The following is a 20,914-nucleotide window of genomic DNA, read 5'->3' on the forward strand; positions in this document are numbered from 1 at the left end:
TTGGCATTCCACCACTTTGAAATTGCAGATAATCTGTCTGCTTCGCACATATTTCTGCTTCCTACCTTGGTCTGTGTTGTCCGTCTTGCCTCAGATTTACTCCTCACTCTCTGCCTGACCTTGATCCTTTCCACCCCTCAGGATACTTCAGATTCACTTGGGGCTCATTTCCCTTGAGAAGCTTTCCTTACAGCCAGTCTTCCAAGCCTGGGTTGAAAGCTCCTCCCTCTTCGCCCTCTGTTTACTCACCTGGCAGCATACTGCGATGCATTCATGTGCAGGAGGGTTAAATTTCAATTTCATATGCTGTGATTCAGATGTACCCTGAAGAATTTAAGAAACAAAACATATCTTTCTTCAGTTTTTATATTTAATTTTGCTCTGGAGTGTCCATTTCCATTAATGGCATAAAAAATTAAATTTGCCAACTAGAGGTAACTATCTCTTTAATAAATATTCAGCCAATTCAAACTCCTGGTAAGGGCTGTATCTCCTTTTTCAAGGTGTCTCTGCTCTCTGCTTCATCTCCTGGGAGGCTTCTGGGTGTGGAATAGGATGACCCTCCACTGAGTCTTCACTGTGCTCTGCCATGGGAGGCTGGCTTTGCCTACCCACTAGATGTCATGCTGCCATGCCATTTTTGACCCCTGATGTTGGCCAGGGTTGGAAGGTCTCCCACATTGTGATCCCAGAAAACACTGTGTTTCTGGCCTCTTAACACTTCCCACTGGGATGCATGAGAACTTAGATGCTACCACAAACCCTGGGGAACTGAAGGCCTCCTCTCAAGCCATGCTCCCTAGTACCTCTCAGCAATGTACAGCCTCCATCCCAGAGAAATGGGGCCACCACCCAGATGTAGTTAGATTTTCCAAACCTATATAGATGATTCTGCCTCCACTGACTCGTGTAATGGGGTGCAGAGTCTTGCTGGGGGTTGATCAGAGACTCTTCCTTCCCTGACTGCCCAGCTCTGAATGTACTTTCTTCTTTTCCTGCCTGCCTAAGAGTAACTCCCATTATATCATACCCTCTTTTGCTGTTACTCTACAAGCTCTTTGTTCTAGGTGGAAGCCACCTTTCCATTCTGTAGGGCAATCACTCTGTTGCTTTGACTTAATGGCAAAATCGATGTAGCAGAATGAGAAAGAGAGAGAGAGAAGAGAAAAGTACATCAGTGGATAGTAATACACATGCACACATTTCCTTTGTTACACATTGAACTCCTTTGGAACAGCTTGGTACAAGGAGAGTGCTCAAGAAACATTTCCGGAATGGAATCTTTATTTCCCAGATACTGTTTTTGACTTCTAGAGACTTCAGTACCTGGCCTAGAATGCTCTATACTGACTGTTGGCTCCATGTCCTAGTGGGGAAAATGGAAGGGATATAATAATAAGGCTGGGCACCAGGTTGTGAGCATCTAGTATATATCAGATATAGTACTAGGTGCTTTCATTAACTTATCCATAAGTTCACTCAGCCACGCAGGATAGGCTTGATAATTTTCCTCTTACAGATGCAGCAACTGAAATTTGGAGAGGTTAAATTTGTTGTCTGAACATGCATTGCCAGTAAGTAAAAGGGCAAGGATTTGATCCCATGAATCTGGGACTCCAAAACCCAGGGCCTTTTCGCTTGATCACAGTAGAAGTAAGAGGTCTGCATGGAAACCCTCCTTTAGAACTGAAGAAAGACCTCTGGTCTCATATGGTCATGGAACTCAATCATTGTAAACCCCTATCTCCAGGAGGGCAGGCCTTGGAACTGCAGGTTAGAGTCTGGAATTCACTGGTGCCAAATCTCTGTTATATGGGACACACCATATGGAGCCTAGAATTCATCACAGCCTTTGGCAGGCAGCCTGGCCTGGAAATAACCCCAGAAGGCTATGTTTTGATCAGGAAACTTGCAGCTGTTTTTCAAAGTCATCTTTGGAATTTTTAATTTTACTTTATTTTTAGCAAACCTACATGCCCCCTGTTTTTTCATCCAGGGTTCTGATTTCCTTGGTGTTCTGGATTACCACATAGGTACATGGCATGTGTTTGCAGAGATATGGAGAGGTCTGGAGAAGTTAGCACACCTCATTGAGCCAAGCAAGAAACAGGGGCCTCGGGAAAAAAAAAAAAATCCCAAGTAACTTAAGTAAAAAATCCCAAGAAAAGTTAAACACATAAACAGCTGTGGCCTCATCACTGAGCCTTAAGGTTGCAGTGGGGAAAAGGAGGGAGGACAAAGAGGCTCTGAGCATTCCAAAACATGGGCACAGCTTCTCTCCCAAAGGTGAGGCATCTGGACAACTAGGCAGACAGCTCCATCAGGAAGGAGAGCCTGTCTGCAGAGGCCAGTTTGCCATGGGCCTTAGTGGGATCCGTAGGCTGCCGAGAGCTCTCAATTTTTGATTTTTCCAAGTGTTTCACCAGATCCCCATCATGCTGGGGCCAAATTCTTGAAAGCAAAGCCACATTTGAATTCTCCAAAGTAAAGCCACGTTTTAGGCTTTGGCTGCAGGGGCTTGGAATCAGGCCACTCTGGGACTTGAGAGAACAGCAATTCCATTTTTGAGGTTTGAGGAATCCTAGAGTTCCCCAGCCTGGGAGAAAAACTGATTTCAATCTGGTTTAATTCCTCATTCCCCTACCTCCATTCCCCACCACACTGACCTGGAGTTTTGGACGGCATACATAGCTCTCAGCATATTCTGATTTGAAGGTACTAGGAGGTTAATCAATGAAGGGCCAAGCTTTTTCTCGCTGGGGTAAAACTTCAAGATCTCATGAATGATCCAATGGAAATGATGTATATGTTTTATTCTTGTCATCCCCCCACCCTTTCTCCTTCGAGCGTGGCAATCTTTCTGCAGTTGTGTCTACATGACTGGTTCAGACAGGGAAAAAAGAGAGAAAAAAAGAAGCCACATGTAAAATTCAGTTTTGTTATTTTCTTTTGCCTACACGATACCACACAGATTGTGTGGTTGACTTATTTTTAACTGAGTCTTTGTGTGAATGAACCAGGCTGGTCAGTTGCTTGGGCAATATTGAGATCAGAAGCAAGATGATTAAAGGCACCAAAAGCAACCACTAATTTGACCAAAGACATCCCACAATAGCTAGACAAAGACATGTCAGTTTGGACTGTGTATAGACGTGGCTTGCCTCGAAGTCTGGTGACCAGCATTAGAACACCACCAAAATGAACCAAGTACACTTGGTACTTCTGGCCATCAAAATAGCTGAACCCTACCATTCAATCTGCCAGTTTAGCTTGTTTGATCCAGTTTTCAAGAAAGCTAGGAGAAAATGCTGTGTGTGTGTGTGTGTGTGTGTGTGTGTGTGTGTGTGTTTGTGTGTGTGTGTGTGTAGGGAATTTGGGGGTCATGTAAAAGGAAAATGGTTGGAAGTATAATTATGACTGTTGACTTTAATGATCAATTAAGTTGACCATGCAAAAATCCAACTACTTGTTAGTTGATTGATAACAAAGTGGCCAGTACAGCCAATTGTATAATTTTTTGCTCCTCATTTCTTTGAAGCTGAGAAATCTCTTGTCATACCTCCATTCATGTATGGCTTGAATAAGTTATGGGTTGAATTGTGTGTCTCAAAAAGATACATTAGAGTCTCAATCTCTGGGACTTCAGAATATGATCTTATTTGGAAATGGGGCCATTGTAGATGTTATCATGAGATCATGCTAGAGTAGGGGGGGCCCCTCATCAAAGATGATTGGTGTCTTTATAAGAAAAGGAGAAGAGACAGAGAGACAGATATACCAAAGAAAATATCATGTGATGATAGAGGCAGAAATAGGAGTGAAGCAGCTATAAACCAAGGAATTCCAAGGCTTGAGGGCTACCACCAGCAGCTAAGAGAGAGGCATTGAACAGATCTCCCCTATGAGTTTCAGAGGTTTCAAAGTTCGGTGATACTGATTTCAGACTTTCAGCCTCCAGAACTGTGAGACACTATATTTCTGTTTTTTTTTTTAAGCTACCTAGTTTGTGATTCTTTGTTATAGCAATCCTAGGAAACATATGATATGTCGGTAAAATAAAGGAAAAGTCAAGAAATAAAACATTCAAAATTATAAAATATTAGAGCTAGATGAGGCTTCAAAATTCATCTCAGCCACATTTTTTCACATGGATTCTGCACTACTCTAATCCTTCAAGATAGTACATAAGATGCAGATTCCATGTTTGTCATGCAAATTTGGAAAATTCTCCATATCATCACCTTAGAAACAATAAATGACTTCAGTAAGTCAAAGCCACTGACAAGTCCTGCAGCTGGGAAACTTCTTTCACTCTGAACAAGGCAGCTTTTCCAAATATCTTTGACGATGAGACACTTCTAGACAAGATGCTTATCTACTTCCCATGAAACTAGTCTTCCATGGATAATACTTTGGAACATCCAACTTTTTCTTTTTATAGATAAAGAACTTGAGAACTAGAGACAAAAGAAACTTGTTTAAAGTTATACAGTGTCATAGCCTGAATTCTAATTGTCCTATAGCAAAGACTGCAGTCATCTACCGTGGGCCTCCTGGCTGAATGAAGAATCCCTCATTCAAACAGCCAACTCTGCCCTTATGTGACTTTATGATCTTCAGAGAGTCTTGCCTTCTGCCAGGTTTCCATTTCTCCACTTGGAAAGTCAAGAGCCTGGACTAGTTCATTGTTATGGACTACATGCTTGTGTCTCTGACAAAACAAATATGTGGAAACCCTCATCCCCAATGAGATGGTTTTCGAAGTGGGGCCTCTGGGAGGTAATTAAGCTTAAAAGAGGTCAGGGGGGTGAAGGTCCCATGATAGGATTAGCATCTGATATGGTTTGGCTGTGTTTTCACCCAAATCTCATCTTGAATTGTAGCTCCCATAATTCCCATGTGTTGTGGGAGGTACTCAGTTGGAGACGATTGAATCATGGGGGCGGTTCCCCTGTATTGTTCTCTCATGATAGTGAATAAGTCTCATGAGATCTGATGGTTTTATAACCATCAGATAACTTTCACTTAGCTCTCATTCTCTTCTTTTGTCTGCCACCATGTAAGACATGCCTTTCACCTTCCACCATGATTGTGACGCCTCCCCAGCCATGTGAAACTATGAGTCGATTAAACCTACTTCTTTGGTAAATTGCTCAGTCTTGGGTATGTCTTTATCAGCAGCATGAAAACAGACTAATACAGTACCCTTATAAGAAGAGAAAAGGACCAGAACTCTCTCTCCATCATGTGAAGATACAGCAAAAATTCAACTATTCACAAGTCAGGAAGAGGTCCCTTCCATGAACCTAACTAACCATGCTGGCACCGTGATTTTGGAAATCCTGATTCCAGAACTACGAGACATAAATTTGTGTTGTTGTTGTTGTTGTTTTGCTTCCTTTATTTATTTATCTGGTTACATATACATCAGGAAAATTTGTGTTGTTTAAATCACCTAGTCTGTGGTACTTTGTTGTGGCAGCTCAGGCTAAGACAGTCATTTCTAAGATCCCTTACAGTATGAAGATTCTGTGACTATTGATCTCGCCTGTATGTGCCTAAAAGGTATAATTTATCCTTGGATGAAAATCTCTATCTAAAGGGCCAAATTATTATTTTGGTCAATGATGTATTACACTTCCCTTGTCCATTTCTTGTCTTGGCCCTGTCAGCAAATTCAGGGCTGATGAGTTAATGTATGTGAAAGTGCTTTGTAAACGGTCAGGCCTTGTCCAAATAAAAGGACTGATTTTTGTGTTATTAGGTTGAGAGCGTTGCAGCCAAGATGAAGGTGAAGTGTACCCACTATCCTGTTGGCATGGGTGTACAATATTTGGGTATGTGCATGATGAGTGTAGTGAACATGTCCACGTGCCCATGTATGTTTCAGTTTAACTGAAAATTTAAGAAGGAGCTGAGAATTTTTTTTTTTTAGACAGAGTCTCACTCTGTCGCCCAGGCTGGAGTGCAGTGGCGCGATCTTGGCTCACTGCAAGCTCTGCCCTCCGGGTTCACGCCATTCTCCTGCCTCAGCCTCCTGAGTAGCTGGGACTACAGGTGCCCGCCACCACGCCCAGCTAATTTTTTGTATTTTTAATAGAGATGGGGTTTCACCATGTTAGCCAGGATGGTCTCGATCTCCTGACCTTGTGATCCGCCTGCCTCAGCCTCCCAAAGTGCTGGGATTATAGGCATGAGCCACCGCACCCAGCCGCAGCTGAGCAATAGTTTTACAAACATGTGTTCTTGGAGTAGACTGCTCAAAGCCACAACCACACTGTAATACTTAACACCTGTGTGGGCTTGGGTGAGTAATTTATCCTCTCTGTGACTTTGTCTCTTCTTCTGGGAAATGAATATAATATTAATTCTTAATTTCCTGGGTTCATGGGAGGATGAAATGATGTCATGCATCTGAAGCCCACAGCCACATATGCTGGCTATGTAGATGCATATCCATTGCATGTGCATTTTATGTATGAAGCATGTGCAAATGTCATGTGCCTATTTGTGTTTCCTTTTATATTTTGCAAATTGCTTTATTCCCCATTGTTTGGCTTATGTTCCCAGAGGAAGCCATCAGAAACAAGAATAGAAGATGGCATCTTGAAAGCATAGCATTGAGCACTTGGGCTTTGGAAGACACTTGAAGGGTTATCTTTCCCAGACTTCCAAGGGCTGCATTCCCTCGTCAACATCTTAGGATCATACATTTGTGACCACTGCTTAGGACTTTAAAGTATGATTCACAATGGCCTGCATTGTGAATTTCAGCCAATGACCCAAAAGAACAGCTTTGCCTTAAGTAGGATTAAACCTTCCTCCGTGCTAGGGAAAAATTAAGAACGTGAGGAAACAGTTGCATTTCAGGCCACTCTAACCTTTCTGTCTCAGGCTCTGTCCTTGGCACGCTACTGATGAGTTTGCTAGAGAAGAGAAACGTTTGAGTCCATTATTTTAAAAGCAGCAGAAAATAGACTCTGGAAAAAAAAATTGTGCATTGGCCACAGAAACTTAATGGCCCATTTTGATCTCTGCCTCCTGCCTGGCTGAGGGTGTCAGGAGCCATGCTCTCAGCTTGCAAAAAAAATGTCATAATGAAGTGTTCAAGTAATGGAGAGTTAATGGAACTGGGAGCCTGAGTTATAACAAAAGGGCCTTAAAAGAGAGGTGGGGTATAATTTATTAACAGCAATATATGAAGCAGGGAGCCTGCAACATTTATGAGAAAAGAAAATGGGACCTTTTACAAGATCCAGGTTTTCTGCTCTTCATGGGATGGGGAGACACTCAATGGAATGATCCAGGCACCTCCCTTTTCTCTGTTAATGCCCCAAGCCCTCTTCCTCAGGGAAGACTGGCATTTCTGCTAAGTATTGAGGATCCAAGTTACCTGCTCTGCTTCTTCCTGGGATGGAGAAATTTCTTTATGATAAGGATGTTGACATCTCCATCAATGGAACATGGTTCTAGTAACTTCCAGTGCTTGTGGGCATTTCTTTCCTAATCTGGTACATTAGTCAGGATTCTGTTGGCTGTACGATGTAGAAGCACAATTTTCAGTGACCTAAGACTGACAAAAATGGTATGTGAGGTTTTTTTTGGATTCCCCACGAAGCAGAGCCTGAGACAAGGAGGTAAGTGGAATTTGTTTGGGAGATGATCCGAGGAGGTCATGGCAAGGGAGTGGAAAATGAGGCAGGAAAGAGAAGAAAGTCAAGAAAGGGCATCGTTATTAAGCCAGTCATAGTGAGAGCAACTGGAGCATTACCCCCTGGGAAATGCTGGCTGACAGCGAGTTATCTCAGTTGAGGGCCAAGGGAACTGGAGAAGTTATTTATTCAATTCCTGCAATAATTAGTTGAGGGCTGTTGCTGTCTTTCTTGTTTTTTAACTGTTACGTAGTGTTTGTGCACATTTATGTGGTACCTGTGATATTTTGTTGCATGCATGGCTGTGTCATGATCAGGTCAGGGTATTTAGGGCATCCATCATCACCTTGTGTATTTGTCATTTCCATGCACTAAGAACATTTCAAGTCCTCTTTACTAGCTATTTTGAAATATACAATACACTGTTGTTAACTATGTCACCTTACTCTGCTATCAAACACTAGCACTTATTCTTTCTATCTAAGTATGCGTTTGTTCTCATTGACCAACCTCTCTTTATCCCTCACCCCTATGTACACACCCTTCCCAGCCTCTGGTATCTGTCATTCTATGCTCTACCTCCATGAGTTCCACTATTTTGACTCCCACATATGAATGGGAACATGCAATATGTGTCTTTCTGTGCTTAGCTTTTTAAGTCTCTGGTACATCTGGCTTTTTCCACATGATGACGAGAATATTTCTATGTCCAGGGGCTGCAGAAGGGACCCTCAGACAAAATTACAGGCATTAGTACAGCCACAGAGTTCATAAAGGACTTTCAGTATGTAAATTGACTGCCAAAGAGACAGTAGATCAATCACAGCATGTAGCAAGGAGAGGTAGGTATTATTTGCCTCAAGTGGTTGAAAGTTCAAGTTTGGCTGGCTTCAGGCATAGTTAGATCCAGGGGCTAAAGAAGCAATAGCAGGACTTGGTCTGTAGCACTTTATCTTTGGCTCTTCTTTCTTTGGCTTTGGCTCTATTCTCAGGCAGGACTGCCCTTGTGACGGTGTGTTGACTGCCAGTAGCTCCCAGCTTATATCCGATTCGGCAACCCCAGTGAAAACAGAATATTTCCCCACCTCAAACAATTTCAGTAGAAGACCTGGGATTTGTTCTTATTGGTTAGTTAATAGTAAGGCATTTAACAATTAACTTAATCTGTCTGGGATCCACAAGTCTTCATCTGTACAAGGACACTGCAACACTGCCTTCAGCTGGAATCATTTGGTTAAAGGTGAACTCCATTCTACCTTCTTCAAGGATCTTTCCATATTTCATGGCACATTTGTGCAAACATTATTTCAAATGTTATCCTTTGACTAGTTTGGTTCCTCTGTCTATATGAGATCAACCTAAATAATGCTCCCATTCCTTGCTCAGCTTTTTCTTTGGCGCAGATGCCCTTTCACAGGCACCTATATGCTCTAACTCAGATGTGGCCTCTTGGATGAAACTATTACATTGGCAAGAACTGTTTTGATAACAAGTGGCAGAAAATTTGATTAAAGTTGTGTTAATATACACATGCACTTACCTACCTGTATATATACATGTGTATATGTACATATGCATATTAACATGTATATTAACACAACTTCTACTAAAATTTTTTGAGGTGGGGAAATATTCTGTTTTCACTGGGGTTGCTGAATTGGATGTAAGCTGGGAGCTACTGGCAGTTGATGTACCATCATATGGGCAGTCCTGCCTAAGAGTAGAGCCAAAGTTGAGGAAAGAAGAACCAATGATAAAGTACTACAGACCAAGGCCTGCAAATGCTTCTTTAGTACTTGGATCCAACTATGCCTGAAGTTAGTCCAAACTTGAACTTTCAACCAGTTAAGGCCATTAATACCTACCCCTCCTTGGTACATATGCACTTATCTACCCTATGTACATATGTGTGTGTGCATGTGTGCGTGTGCACGTATAGGGGTTTGTGTGTGTGTATTACCTACCATAAAGTTACAGGTATCCATACAGGTAGGTAAGTACATATGTATATAAATATATATATATATAGTATATATATATATATAGTATATATATATATAGTATATATATATACTATATATATAGTGTATATATATAGTATATATATAGTATATATATACTATATATATAGTATATATACTATATATATATACACACACACATATATATTGTAATATACACACATACTCCTATATACCTATAAAAATTTACTTACATGCATATGTTCACTCTCACATTAGCCTGTGAGTTCCTTGAGGATACATATGCTCTCACTGTTTTTAATATGCCCAGCATGGCCAGGTGCGATGGCTCATGCCTGTAATCCCAGCACTTTGGGAGGCTGAGGCGGGCGGATCATGAGGTCAGGAGATCGAGACCATCTTGGCTAACATGGTGAAACCCCGTCTGTACTAAAAATACAAAAAATTAGCCGGGCGTGGTGGCGGGCGCCTGTAATCCCAGCTACTCAGGAGGCTGAGGCAGGAGAATGGTGTGAACCTGGGAGTTGGAGCTTGCAGTGAGCCGAGATCGCGCCACTGCACTCCAGCCTGGACGACAGAGCAAGACTCCGTCTCAAAAAAAAAAAAAATGCCCAGCATATATTGCACACAGCCTAGCATACATTGGCTGTACAAGAAATCTTTGAGAGACAAAGGAGGAGAGAAACAAAGAATAAAGGACTCAATATTAAGTTCTATACTTCCTTCCAAGCTGACAGTTTGGAACTGGATATTGTACTGTCACCATGCAACATATTAATGTTGCACTTTCAACTCAATATGTTCCAAACTGAACTTACCATCTTATTTTCCAGACCTTACCTAGCTCACCACATTCCCCACCTTGCTGTTGTTGACTTCATGACATATTTGTATCTTGGCAACTTACCAGAGGTCTAATCTGGTGGTCCTAGACCCCGTGTGTCAGAAGGTCCATGAACTTCTAAAAATCACATAACATTTTTAAATGCACTTGTTCCTATGAATTGACTTGAGGAATTGGGTCCATGGATTTCATCAGACTGACCTAAGAGTGAGTCCTGTTTCTCTTTCTGAACTATTATGGATGGAATTGTGTCCCTGAAAAATTCCTAGGTCAGCGTCCTAATCCTCCAGCACCTCAGAATGTGAAGTTATTTGGTAATCAAGTTAAAATGAGGTCATGAGGGAGGGCCTGAATCCAGTATGACCCATGTCATTATAAGAAGGAGAAATTTGGAGATGGACACACACATAGGACAACATCATGGGAAGATGAAGGCAGAGATTGGGGCAATACTTCTATTAGGTTGGTGCAGAAGTCATCGCAGTTTTTGCTCTCAAAAGTAATGGCAAAAATCACAATTATTTTCATTACTTTTACAGCAACTTAATATAAGCTAAGGAATGCAAAAGATTGCCAGCAAATGACCAGAAGCTAGAGGGGAGGCATGGAACAGATCTTCTCTCACAGCCTCAGAAGGAACTAGCCCTACTGACAGCTCGATCTCAGACTTCTAGACTCCAGACTGGTGAGACAACATATTTCTGTTGTTTAAGCCACCCAGTTTGTGGCAATTTGTTACGGCAGACCAGCAAATGAATACAGGATCTCTACAAAATACACTCACCTTTCAGGCAGGCCAAGAGGATTGTTTACTGTCAGAGCTCCAAGCCCGGAACTTACTCACACACCAAAAAAGGGGCATGGAAGTGGGAGCAAGGATGGAGTCACGATCCCAAAGTCCCGGAGCATCTTCTCCACACATTCATGAGAGTCAGGCACAGGTTTTTATCTCATGCCCACATTCAGGGGGCCATCATCCTGAGCCTGCACCCCCAGAGAAAGTGAGGCCCAGGAATTTGTGAGTTTGTTGTTGCTTGTGTTACCGAATATCCATGAACTGCAAAATGGCACCATGACCTAATGAAGTATTAACCCTGCCTCATCACTGCACATCAACCATGAAAGCAGGCTCTTCTTGGCCAGGGCTGTTTCAAGGAGATTTAGGAATATATTTGAGGCTTCTGAAGGATAGTTGGAAATTAGGGGGTCTGCAAATGGACCTCCAAGAACTCAGGACAGGGGACATGGACCAGAAGCACCCCCTGATCTGCCTGGGGTCTCCAACATACTGTTCTTCCCTCCCACCCCTTTCAAGGGCTATCCAACGTTGGAAAGAATAAAAACTCAGAGTCAATAGATCTGGGTTTACATCACAGCTTTACTCATGAGACATGAGACAAATGACTTAGTCCTTCTGAGCCTCAGTTTTCTCCTCTGTAAAATGGGAATAATCATTGTAGATGCTTCACAGAGTTGTGAAAACATAATGGGTATCTATCTATCTATCTATCTATCTATCTATCTATCTATCTGGAATGAAAATGCACCTGGCTCATAGTAGACACTTGTTAACTCGAAGCTGCTTTATTTTTGTTGTTGATTTCTTATTGTGATTTTTTGTGACATTAAAAGGCAAAGTTTACTTTCAGAGCTCCAAGCCCGAACTAACTCACCCACCAAAAAAGGGGCACGGAGGTGGGAGGGAGGATGGGGGTAAAACTAATAGTTGTCAGCCTGATCCCATTGATCTCTTCGCTCTTCAGAAAGTGGGAAAGTAGGAGTAGGTAATTCAAATAATCACCATTTATTGCCTGCTCTGGGTTAAACATGTTATATGTATCATCCCAATATTTCTAGCAACAGCCCCCTGGAGTAGGTACTATTGGCCTTATTGAGGAAACAGAGGGTCAGAGAAGGTAAAAACCTTGCTTGTGTTCCACAGTTGCTGGGAAGTGGCAAATCTAGGATTTGAGCCTTGTTCACAGGACACCAAATGCCATGATTTTTCCATGACACCACACCCAGAACCCCTGTTTCTCATGCACCTTAGTCTTGTATAATTTCTGGGGGTGAAAGGTCAGGGGTCCTGGTGCCCTAATCCAGTTCTTGGTCTGTTTTTCCCATGAGGTCTTTTGATCCCCTTGTGTGTCCACCCAGTCCCAGCTCCAGTTGCTGGGAGGTCAGCGTCCCCCCACTACCTGCGGACTCCAGAGGCCAGGAGCTGTGTGGGCTGTGCCTGTAAAGCAGTTTGATGATGTGCTAAGTGTCACTGCTTAATGAGCTGCAGGACCAAACACTCAAGGTAGGGGCCAGGGAGGCCGGCGCAGCCCCCAGACACATGCTCCTGCCCAAGTTCAATCGTAAACGTCACAACCAAGGGTGGGTCTGGAGCCACAGGCTCCAAGATCCCCAACTTCCGTTGCCCCATTGGCCTTGGACTAATCCACTCTCCACTCAACAGCTCACCCCGATTTCCTCCTCCACCCTCCCACCCTCCAACCCATCCTCGGGGCCGTCGCCATGGGAGGTCTCCTCTCACAACAGGGCAAAGCAATTAAGGCCAGACGGGGCAAATTAAACCAGAAAGAATGAATTTCCTCCAGTGCCAGAGAAATATTTGGGGCCTTACTTCCAAGGAGGTACTAGTAGGAGAGATGGATGGCAGTTGAGTGGTGAAGATGAAGACTGATGGAACAGCATCAAGGAACAGGAAAGAGAAAAGAGATATGGGTATCCAAGAAGTGCATGGCTTCCTCAGGGCTGCCTCTGGACAAAGGTTAAAGTGGAAAGAGCAAAGAAAGGGAGAATGGCAGAACCAATCACTGGTTCATTCACTTATATGTCAAACATTGACCTGGGTGTTTGGAATACGAAAGAAAACTGGAGATCACGGTGAATTGATTAGGAGCCAGGGCTTTGAACTGGCTGTTTCCATCATTCATTAGTGGGGTAAACCTGGGCAAGGGACCCGACTTCCCTGAATCTCAGTTTCCTCATCTGTAAAATGGGAATTAAATGCATGTGTTGTGCCAGGGCTCTGGGGGAAGATTAATATAATTTCCATAAAATGAACATTGCTTTGCACAGATGTTCCAGAAAATTAATACATCATATATAGGCTCCTCTATATGTGTCTGCTGAATGAATAATTATAGTTTGTGCTTATTAGCATTTTATACATATTAACTTCCTCAAATATTTGAGGAAGTCATTGTTACTATCTCCCTTTCTTTTGAAACGAGAAACTGAGGCAACTAGGGGTTAAGTTACCCTCCAAATTCACACAGCTATTAAGTGGTCCAGGTGGGACTTGAACTCAGGGAGTTTAGCTCCAGAAACTGTGTACCTAAAGGCCAAACTACACTGTCTTCTGGTAATGCAGGGAAAGAAAAAAAGAAAGTAATTATATGTTTAATAAGTGGGGATTGGGTCAGAAAGTCCTTGGAGATCTCTTAAAAGAATTCAACTCAGTAGCTTTCCCTGCCCTTGGCTGGGAATGGACACACACACTCAAGCACACAAACACACCCTTGTGTGTGCATGTATTGGCCTCTGCTGACCTCCAGCTGCTACCCTCTGTGTGCCCTGCAGCAGTGGCTGCTTCCTGGGAAGGGGTGGATGGAGTTGCTATGTGGATGCCTAAAGCCAAGTCGGCTGACCCTGTAACCCCACCTCCATCCCACACTGCCCTCCTCCTCCCTACTTCCCCCCTTCCTTCCCTCCCTCCAGGGCTCAGTACAAACATGGTATCCAATTTGTTACCTACACAGGAAGGTCAGGGCCCTGCTGACTTCTGCTCTTTTCTCAGCATGGGTCACTTGGCTATAACTTGCTTGTTTTCCTCTCTGTTCTTTGGAAGAGTGAATGGGAAATGGGGAGGGAACTGGGAACAGACGGTGACCTCTGACTATAAGAAATTTTTATGCTTTTCTGGAGTCCTAAATAGATCTGAAAATTGTCTAGACAGGGCTATGGTGGGAATACTTTGATGGAGAACTTGAGGTTCACCATAGACTGCAGGACAGACAAATTGCATCTTCTATGATAATGGAGTTTGACAGACAAAGCACTATGTGATATTGTGTATGTGTATGTGTTCAAACATGTGTGTGCTTATATGAGCACTTTTCTGCCCATAGATGTCATCAGAATTTCAAATGGATTTGAGTTCCCATAGGATTAAGATCCACTGGCCTAAAATCAGGGGGAATTGATGGGAGAATTTCTGTATTGACCTGTGAAATTGAGCACCAAAGAAACAATGCCGTGGACTCGCAGAGTGCAGCTATCACACCATTTGGTCCAGGAAACCCAATTCAAATGTCTACGGTGACAAAAGGTGAATTTCAATGAGTGAGTTCAGCCAAGTGTAAGAAAAATCTTAGTGTTCAGGAGACAATATGGAGTAAGTGACAATGTAGTAGGTCAGATAGTGGAGAGCAATGCATATCCCAGATGAGGATCCATAGCTCAGCTGCATCCATTGTTGCCGTAGTGGAATCTTGACCCAACTTTGCTGAATCTTTCAGGATTTTTGAGTAAAGTCAGTATATTGTTTTGTTCTTACACAGCTATAATGAAATACCTGAAACTGGGTAATTTATAAAGAAAAGAGGTTTAACTGGGTCACAGTTCCACACGCTGTACAGGAACCATGGCTGGGGAGGTCTCAGGAAACTTACAATCATGGCAGAAGGTTAAGGGGGAAGCAGGCATGTCTTCACATGGCCAGAGCAGGAGAAAGAGAGAGCAAAGGGGTAGGTGCTACACACTTTTAAACAACCATATCTTGTGAGAACTCACTCACTATCATGAGAACAGCAAGGAGGAAATCCACCCCCATGATCCGATAACTTCCCACCAGGCCACTTCTCCAAAACTGGGGATTACAATTCGACATGAGATTTGGGTAGGGACAGAAATCCAAACCATATCAGTCAGAAATCCAGATTTCTATCTGAAACATTCTAACTTTTAAATGTTGGTTCAAAACTAGAATACTGGGCAAGCCAAACAAAATAAATACATAGGCCAGATCTAGTCTGCGGGCCTCTAGTTGTTGGCCTCTGAAAGTTTGTCTCTATCATTTTCTAGTTAGAGAAATTCCAAACCAGAAAAGGAAAGTGGTCTCTCTCCTTAAGGTCACGTAGAGAAAGTGTATGACAGAACCAGGACTCAAAATTCAGGTCTTCTAAGGCACAATGCTTCTGTCTCCTACCCTACTGGGCTGCTTAGGGAATAGCTCCTCACTTTCATGCTCTGCTGTTTCACCTCTCCAAGGAAGACCAGCAGTTATTCAGGCCTAGGTTATAGACATAGCTACTTCTTACTTATCCATCATGGGATCTATGGGAGGTTTATTGCCGTGATGTCCCCAACTCTTCTCCCATTTAGAGCAAAGGCTTTTTTTTTTTTTGAGATGAAATCTCATTCTGTTGCCAAAGTTGGAGTATAGTGGCACGATCTCGGCTCACTGCAACCTTCACCTCCCGGGTTCAAGCAATTCTCTTGCCTCAGTCTCTGAGTAGCTGGGATTACAGGCACCCGCTACCACGCCTGGCTAATTTTTGTGTTTTTAGTAGAGACAGGGTTTCACCATGTTGGCCAGGCTGGTCTTGAACTCCTGACCTAAGGTGATCCACCAACCTCGGCCTTCCAAAGTGCTGGGATTACAGGCATGAGCCACCACACCCACCCAGTGCAAAGGATTTTTTACCCCACACCTTGATTCTGAGTTTGGCCATGTAACTTGCTTGGCCCTTGGAGAGGTGATACAAACCAGGGCTTAAAAAACACTAACAGATTTCCGCTTACTCTGCTCACTCTTGAATCCCTGCCATCCACTCACGAACTGACATGGACCAGCCTATGCAAAGCATGTGAGAAACTCATGTCTCAACCAAGTCCATTCTAAATCAGCCAATCCCCAGCTAACTCCCCCAGCTGACCATAGGCACAAAAATAAGCCCTGCCTAAATCAACTGAGCTCAGCCAAGATAAACACAACCATCCAGCCTTCTCCTAGACTCATGAGACATTATTAGGTTGATGCAAAAGCAAATGAGGTTTTTGCAATTACTTTTAATAATACATGTTTATCACTTTAAGTCACTAAGTTTTGGGGTTGTATGTTACATAGCAACAGCTAAGTGATACCAGTAGAAGGGGCGAGGATTATTCACTTCATGAATAAATGATTTGGAATATTGAATCCACCCTTCCTCGTCCTCAGTCTTTGATTTTAGTCTCCTACCTTTACTTAATAAACCTCAAATAATGAACACTTATTTGAACATGGTCGGATTATCTTCTGTGTCTCAGGCACTGTACTTGTTGTTCTCCTGACTGTTATGTTAGTACATAAAAAATGTAATTACATGATAGTTTTAAGAGGCAGGACAAAAACAAATAGAAAAGAAAATGTGTAGCCATCCAGGTAGGGAGGCTTCTTATAAAGAGCCCTCGAGTCATGCGAATCTGGTTTGGAATTCTATTCCCATTGCTTCTTTGATTTATGATCTTAAAGAAATGACCTACCTCACTAACTAACCTCAGTTTCCTTACTTAAAAAGTGAGAATGATAATGCCTATATTATTATGAGGAATAAATCAGGAAATGGTATCTGATGGGAATTCATTCATTTGCAAGAAAAAGTTAATTGGACAGTGACTAACGCCATTAAGACATTCAATTATCTCACACAACAAGGAATCTGGAGGCCAACACCTGCTGGGATGGGTTTATGGCAGAACGATATCAGAGGAAAGTCTCTAAGATACTCTTAGCCTTTACCTCATGGTTGTAAAGTACCTGCTTCAGCTCCAGAAATGATGGCCACCTTCCAGGTATAGGATGGGAGAAATGTCAGATTTTTTTTTTTTTTTAGGAAAATAAAGTCTTTCCTGGAAGCTCTCAGTAGCTTTCACTGATGTCTCATTGGCCATGATGTGGCTCAGGTCACATCATGACAATTCATGATAACTTATGGCTGCAAGAGAAGCTCATAAAGGAGGAATTTGACATTGCACCCTCTAGAATTGCAGGCATGGGAAAGAGGAGAGGTAGGGAATGGGAGCTGTGTTAGCCAAACACTGGCATTCTCTGCAGAGTGTCAAGGGGTACTTAGCTTGGAATAGGTGCTCAGGAGCTAATAATTCCTCCTCATAATGCACTTTTTTTGTTGTTGTTTTTGAGACAGAGTCTCCCTCTGTCACCCATGCTGGAGCGCAGTGGTGCAATATCAGCTCACTGCAACCCCTGCCTCCTGGGTTCAAGCGATTCTCCTGCCTGAGCCTCTCGAGTAGCTGGGATAACAGGTGCGTACCACCATGCCCTGCTAATTTTTGTATTTTTAGTAGAGATGGGGTTTCACCATGTTGGCCAAGCTGGCCTCAAACTCCTGACCTCAGGTGATCGGCACACCTTGGCCTCCCAAAGTGCTGGAATTATAGGTATGAGCCACCGTGCCCTGCCCACTTTTTAGAAGTTGAAACTTGCTAATGGCTTTAAAGGAGAGGAAGATTTGTTTTTTTCTGCTTTATGTCTTCAGGTAGATTAGGTTTCAGAGTATTTTCCCAATTATAGGAGAACCAGACTGGAGCGCTCTCTGGGTTCACAATTTCTTTCCATGGCTGTGTATACGCTTCATGCATCCCTTCTCCTGACTCCCAACTTTGGGGACTCTGTGTCTCCTTCACCCTAACCCTGTAACCCTGTAAGCCTAGTGGGGCTGCCCATGTTGTCACTCCACCACTCCTGCCAGGCTTTTCATGGTCCTTTACTAGATTAGGTATGCAACTTTGGTTATGGATCACTTGATAAACATGGTAAGATGCAGATTCCCAGGCCAAACCACTAAAAATTCTGAATCAGTATGGTAAACTTGGAGAGGAGCTGGAATATATGCACATGTAATTCACATCCAAGATGGTCTTTGAGAAACACTTTGGGAAACATGGTCCTAGGATCTTGAAGCTAATGGTGCATGAGCCTAGAGCACCTATGGCCACTAGGCCACTTTCTCATTGCCTGGAGAAAGTCAGAGTTCAGGAAGACACAAGAAGGCAGCATGCAGAGAGAAGCAGAGTGAAGAAGTAAAGGAAAAAAGAGAATAGAATTTGAGTTCCTAGACACAGTGGTCTGTGAGGACAGCTCCACCCCTTTTCTTCCTGAGGCTTTAGTTGTATAAATCAGAGTGTTCTTTATTTCTTTCTAAATCTTGAACTTCTGTGACTTAAGAGGGCTACTCCGTAGATATGGGGAAGTACTGGTATACCGGCAGGTATAACTGGTTTATTTGCAACATAAATCTTTCCGAAAATATAATCCATAATATTCTGTAAGTAGACCAAGTATACTTAATAATACCAAGTATATCATCAAGTATATATTAAGTATATAACTTAGTAATACCAAGTATATCAAGCACAGTGGCTGGGTTATGCTGCAGTAAGAACCACCCTCCAAATCTCAGTGGCTTAACATGAGTTTCTTTCTTTCTCCTTTCTCATACTACATACACTACGCATATAGGCCGGAGGATTTCTGCTCCATGAAGTCTCTCAGAGATCCAGGCTGATACAGAGTTCATCTTAACAAGTGCTTTCGTAGTCACCACAGCAGTGGGAAATGAACATGGAAATCATTGATCATGGCTCTTAAAGTTTCTGTTCCAAAGTGACACAGGTACCTTCTGTTCATATTTCATTGGCCAAAGCAAAGCACACAGGTATGCCTATCCTCAAAAGAGGACAAGAAGTACAATTCTTCTAGGTGCCTGAAAAGAAAAGAATTAGAAATATTAGATTAGTGCCACTATTGCCTACTGCACCAGAGGAACTCAGTGATTTAAGATAGTTTTAACAAAGGATGAATAAAAATATGAGCTAGAATATATGACAGCCTGGGGTGGACCAGGCATTTTGCCTACATTATATTACTTAATAGGTACCCAGCAAGACAGATATGGCTACCCCCAATTCACAGAGGGGAAAACTGAGGATTAGAAAGTTTAGACAAGTGACCAAGTATACTCAGCCAATAAGTGATGGCTTTAGCTTTGAATCTGGCTTACTCTTTCCCCCAAACCCATACTTTTAACCACCATGATTTTATCATTTATTCAACACTTTCTTTCGGAAAACCCACATATTTTCAAAATGCCAGCATTAAGGAAGACATAAAGGTGACTCTTGAGGAGTTCACTGTCTGGCCACTAAAATATTCATGATCTGTCTTACATGGGGTGAGAATTAAAGCAGGGGAATCAGCAATAAAATCAGAGAGCCAGTATTAACACAATACATGATTTAGCTTTCTCAGAGATTAAATCTGGTGCTCAGCAGCTTATCAACTTTCTCTAGTGAGAGCCTGGTATAATCTCACTGTGAAAAAAAGGCTTCTGCTATCCAAACCCTCCCTGAAATGTTTCTTGATAATTTTAAAAGCCATGTTTTAAATAATATATATTATTATACAGCAAATATTCACTCCCTCCCTTTACTAATGTGGGCAGAGATTTTCTGCATGCTGCTAAGTTTGGGCTTGGTCATATGACTTGCTTTGGTCAGTGCAATGTTAGAGGGCATGATGTATGCATGAGTTCTTAAACATGCTTGCATGTTTTGGTTCAGGTTTTGAGCTTTCTTAATCCATGTTGAGAAAGACATGACTTAGGTAGTCACTGCCCTTTTATCTAGGACTCCAGAATAAACACACGTGCAGCGTATGTGGAGTCATGGAGCCAAGCCAGGCCCACGTCAGCTGAGCCGCAGTTGATTGCAGACCCATGAATGTGAGAATAAATGCTTGTAGCTATTAGTCACTGGATTTGTGGGATGGTTTGTTATGCAGCATTACTACAATAGCCGACTAATACACCATTTATCCTGCACGCTGGTGGGAGATGAAAGTTGAACCCAAGAACATTTCATGGGTCATTTATTTAGGACTGTTTAATCTGGAGAGGTGGAGTGGATCTCCAGATACTTCAAGGGGCCTGATGGTCTCTTGGCATAAGGAAGGGCACAAGACTGGCGATTAGGAACACTTGAATTCTAATCTCAATTTTGACTCACACACGCTGTTTGAAGATGGATATAAGTTATTCGCCTTTCTTGTTTTTATTGTTTTATTTTCTGTATAAGGGCTGGTCTAGATTGTAATGGCAAATAGGTCTAAATGACCACCAAGATTAATTAGTGATGGTTGTCTGAAGTCCTCACAAATTTGGAGGATGGATCTAGGCAAGGGATAAAAGTTCTGGAATTGATTATTGATGTCTGCCATGGGCACAGATTTTATTTTATTTTTTTCATTTCTTGCCCACTCTATATATCTGGGACCATAAGAGTATAAGAAGCCAGCCAGTTGACCTTGTGCCCTGACAAAGATTGAGTCAGAGAGAAATTGGATCTCCTGTGAAAGAACAGGAAAG

General features: G+C 42.5%; 1 long non-coding RNA gene across 5 annotated transcripts in view; it reads left to right on the plus strand.

Annotated features, from left to right (window-relative positions):
- LOC102723639 (uncharacterized) overlaps positions 1 to 20,914 on the plus strand; it is a 92,097-nt gene that overhangs the window by 8,494 nt on the left and 62,689 nt on the right. For 2 of the 5 annotated variants that reach the window (XR_429190.3, XR_001749331.2), the window contains one exon: positions 11,018 to 12,229. The exons of 1 other annotated variant lie outside the window; for it this stretch is intronic. This is a non-coding gene — a long non-coding RNA (uncharacterized LOC102723639). Of the gene's footprint in view, positions 1 to 11,017; positions 12,230 to 14,617; positions 15,194 to 17,970; positions 19,165 to 20,914 lie in introns of those variants that run through there. 2 more of the 5 variants (XR_001749332.1, XR_007063588.1) reach the window with 2 other exon arrangements.

This window comes from Homo sapiens, chromosome 12 (assembly GCF_000001405.40).
Source record: "Homo sapiens chromosome 12, GRCh38.p14 Primary Assembly".
NCBI classification, from domain to species: Eukaryota; Metazoa; Chordata; class Mammalia; order Primates; family Hominidae; genus Homo; species Homo sapiens.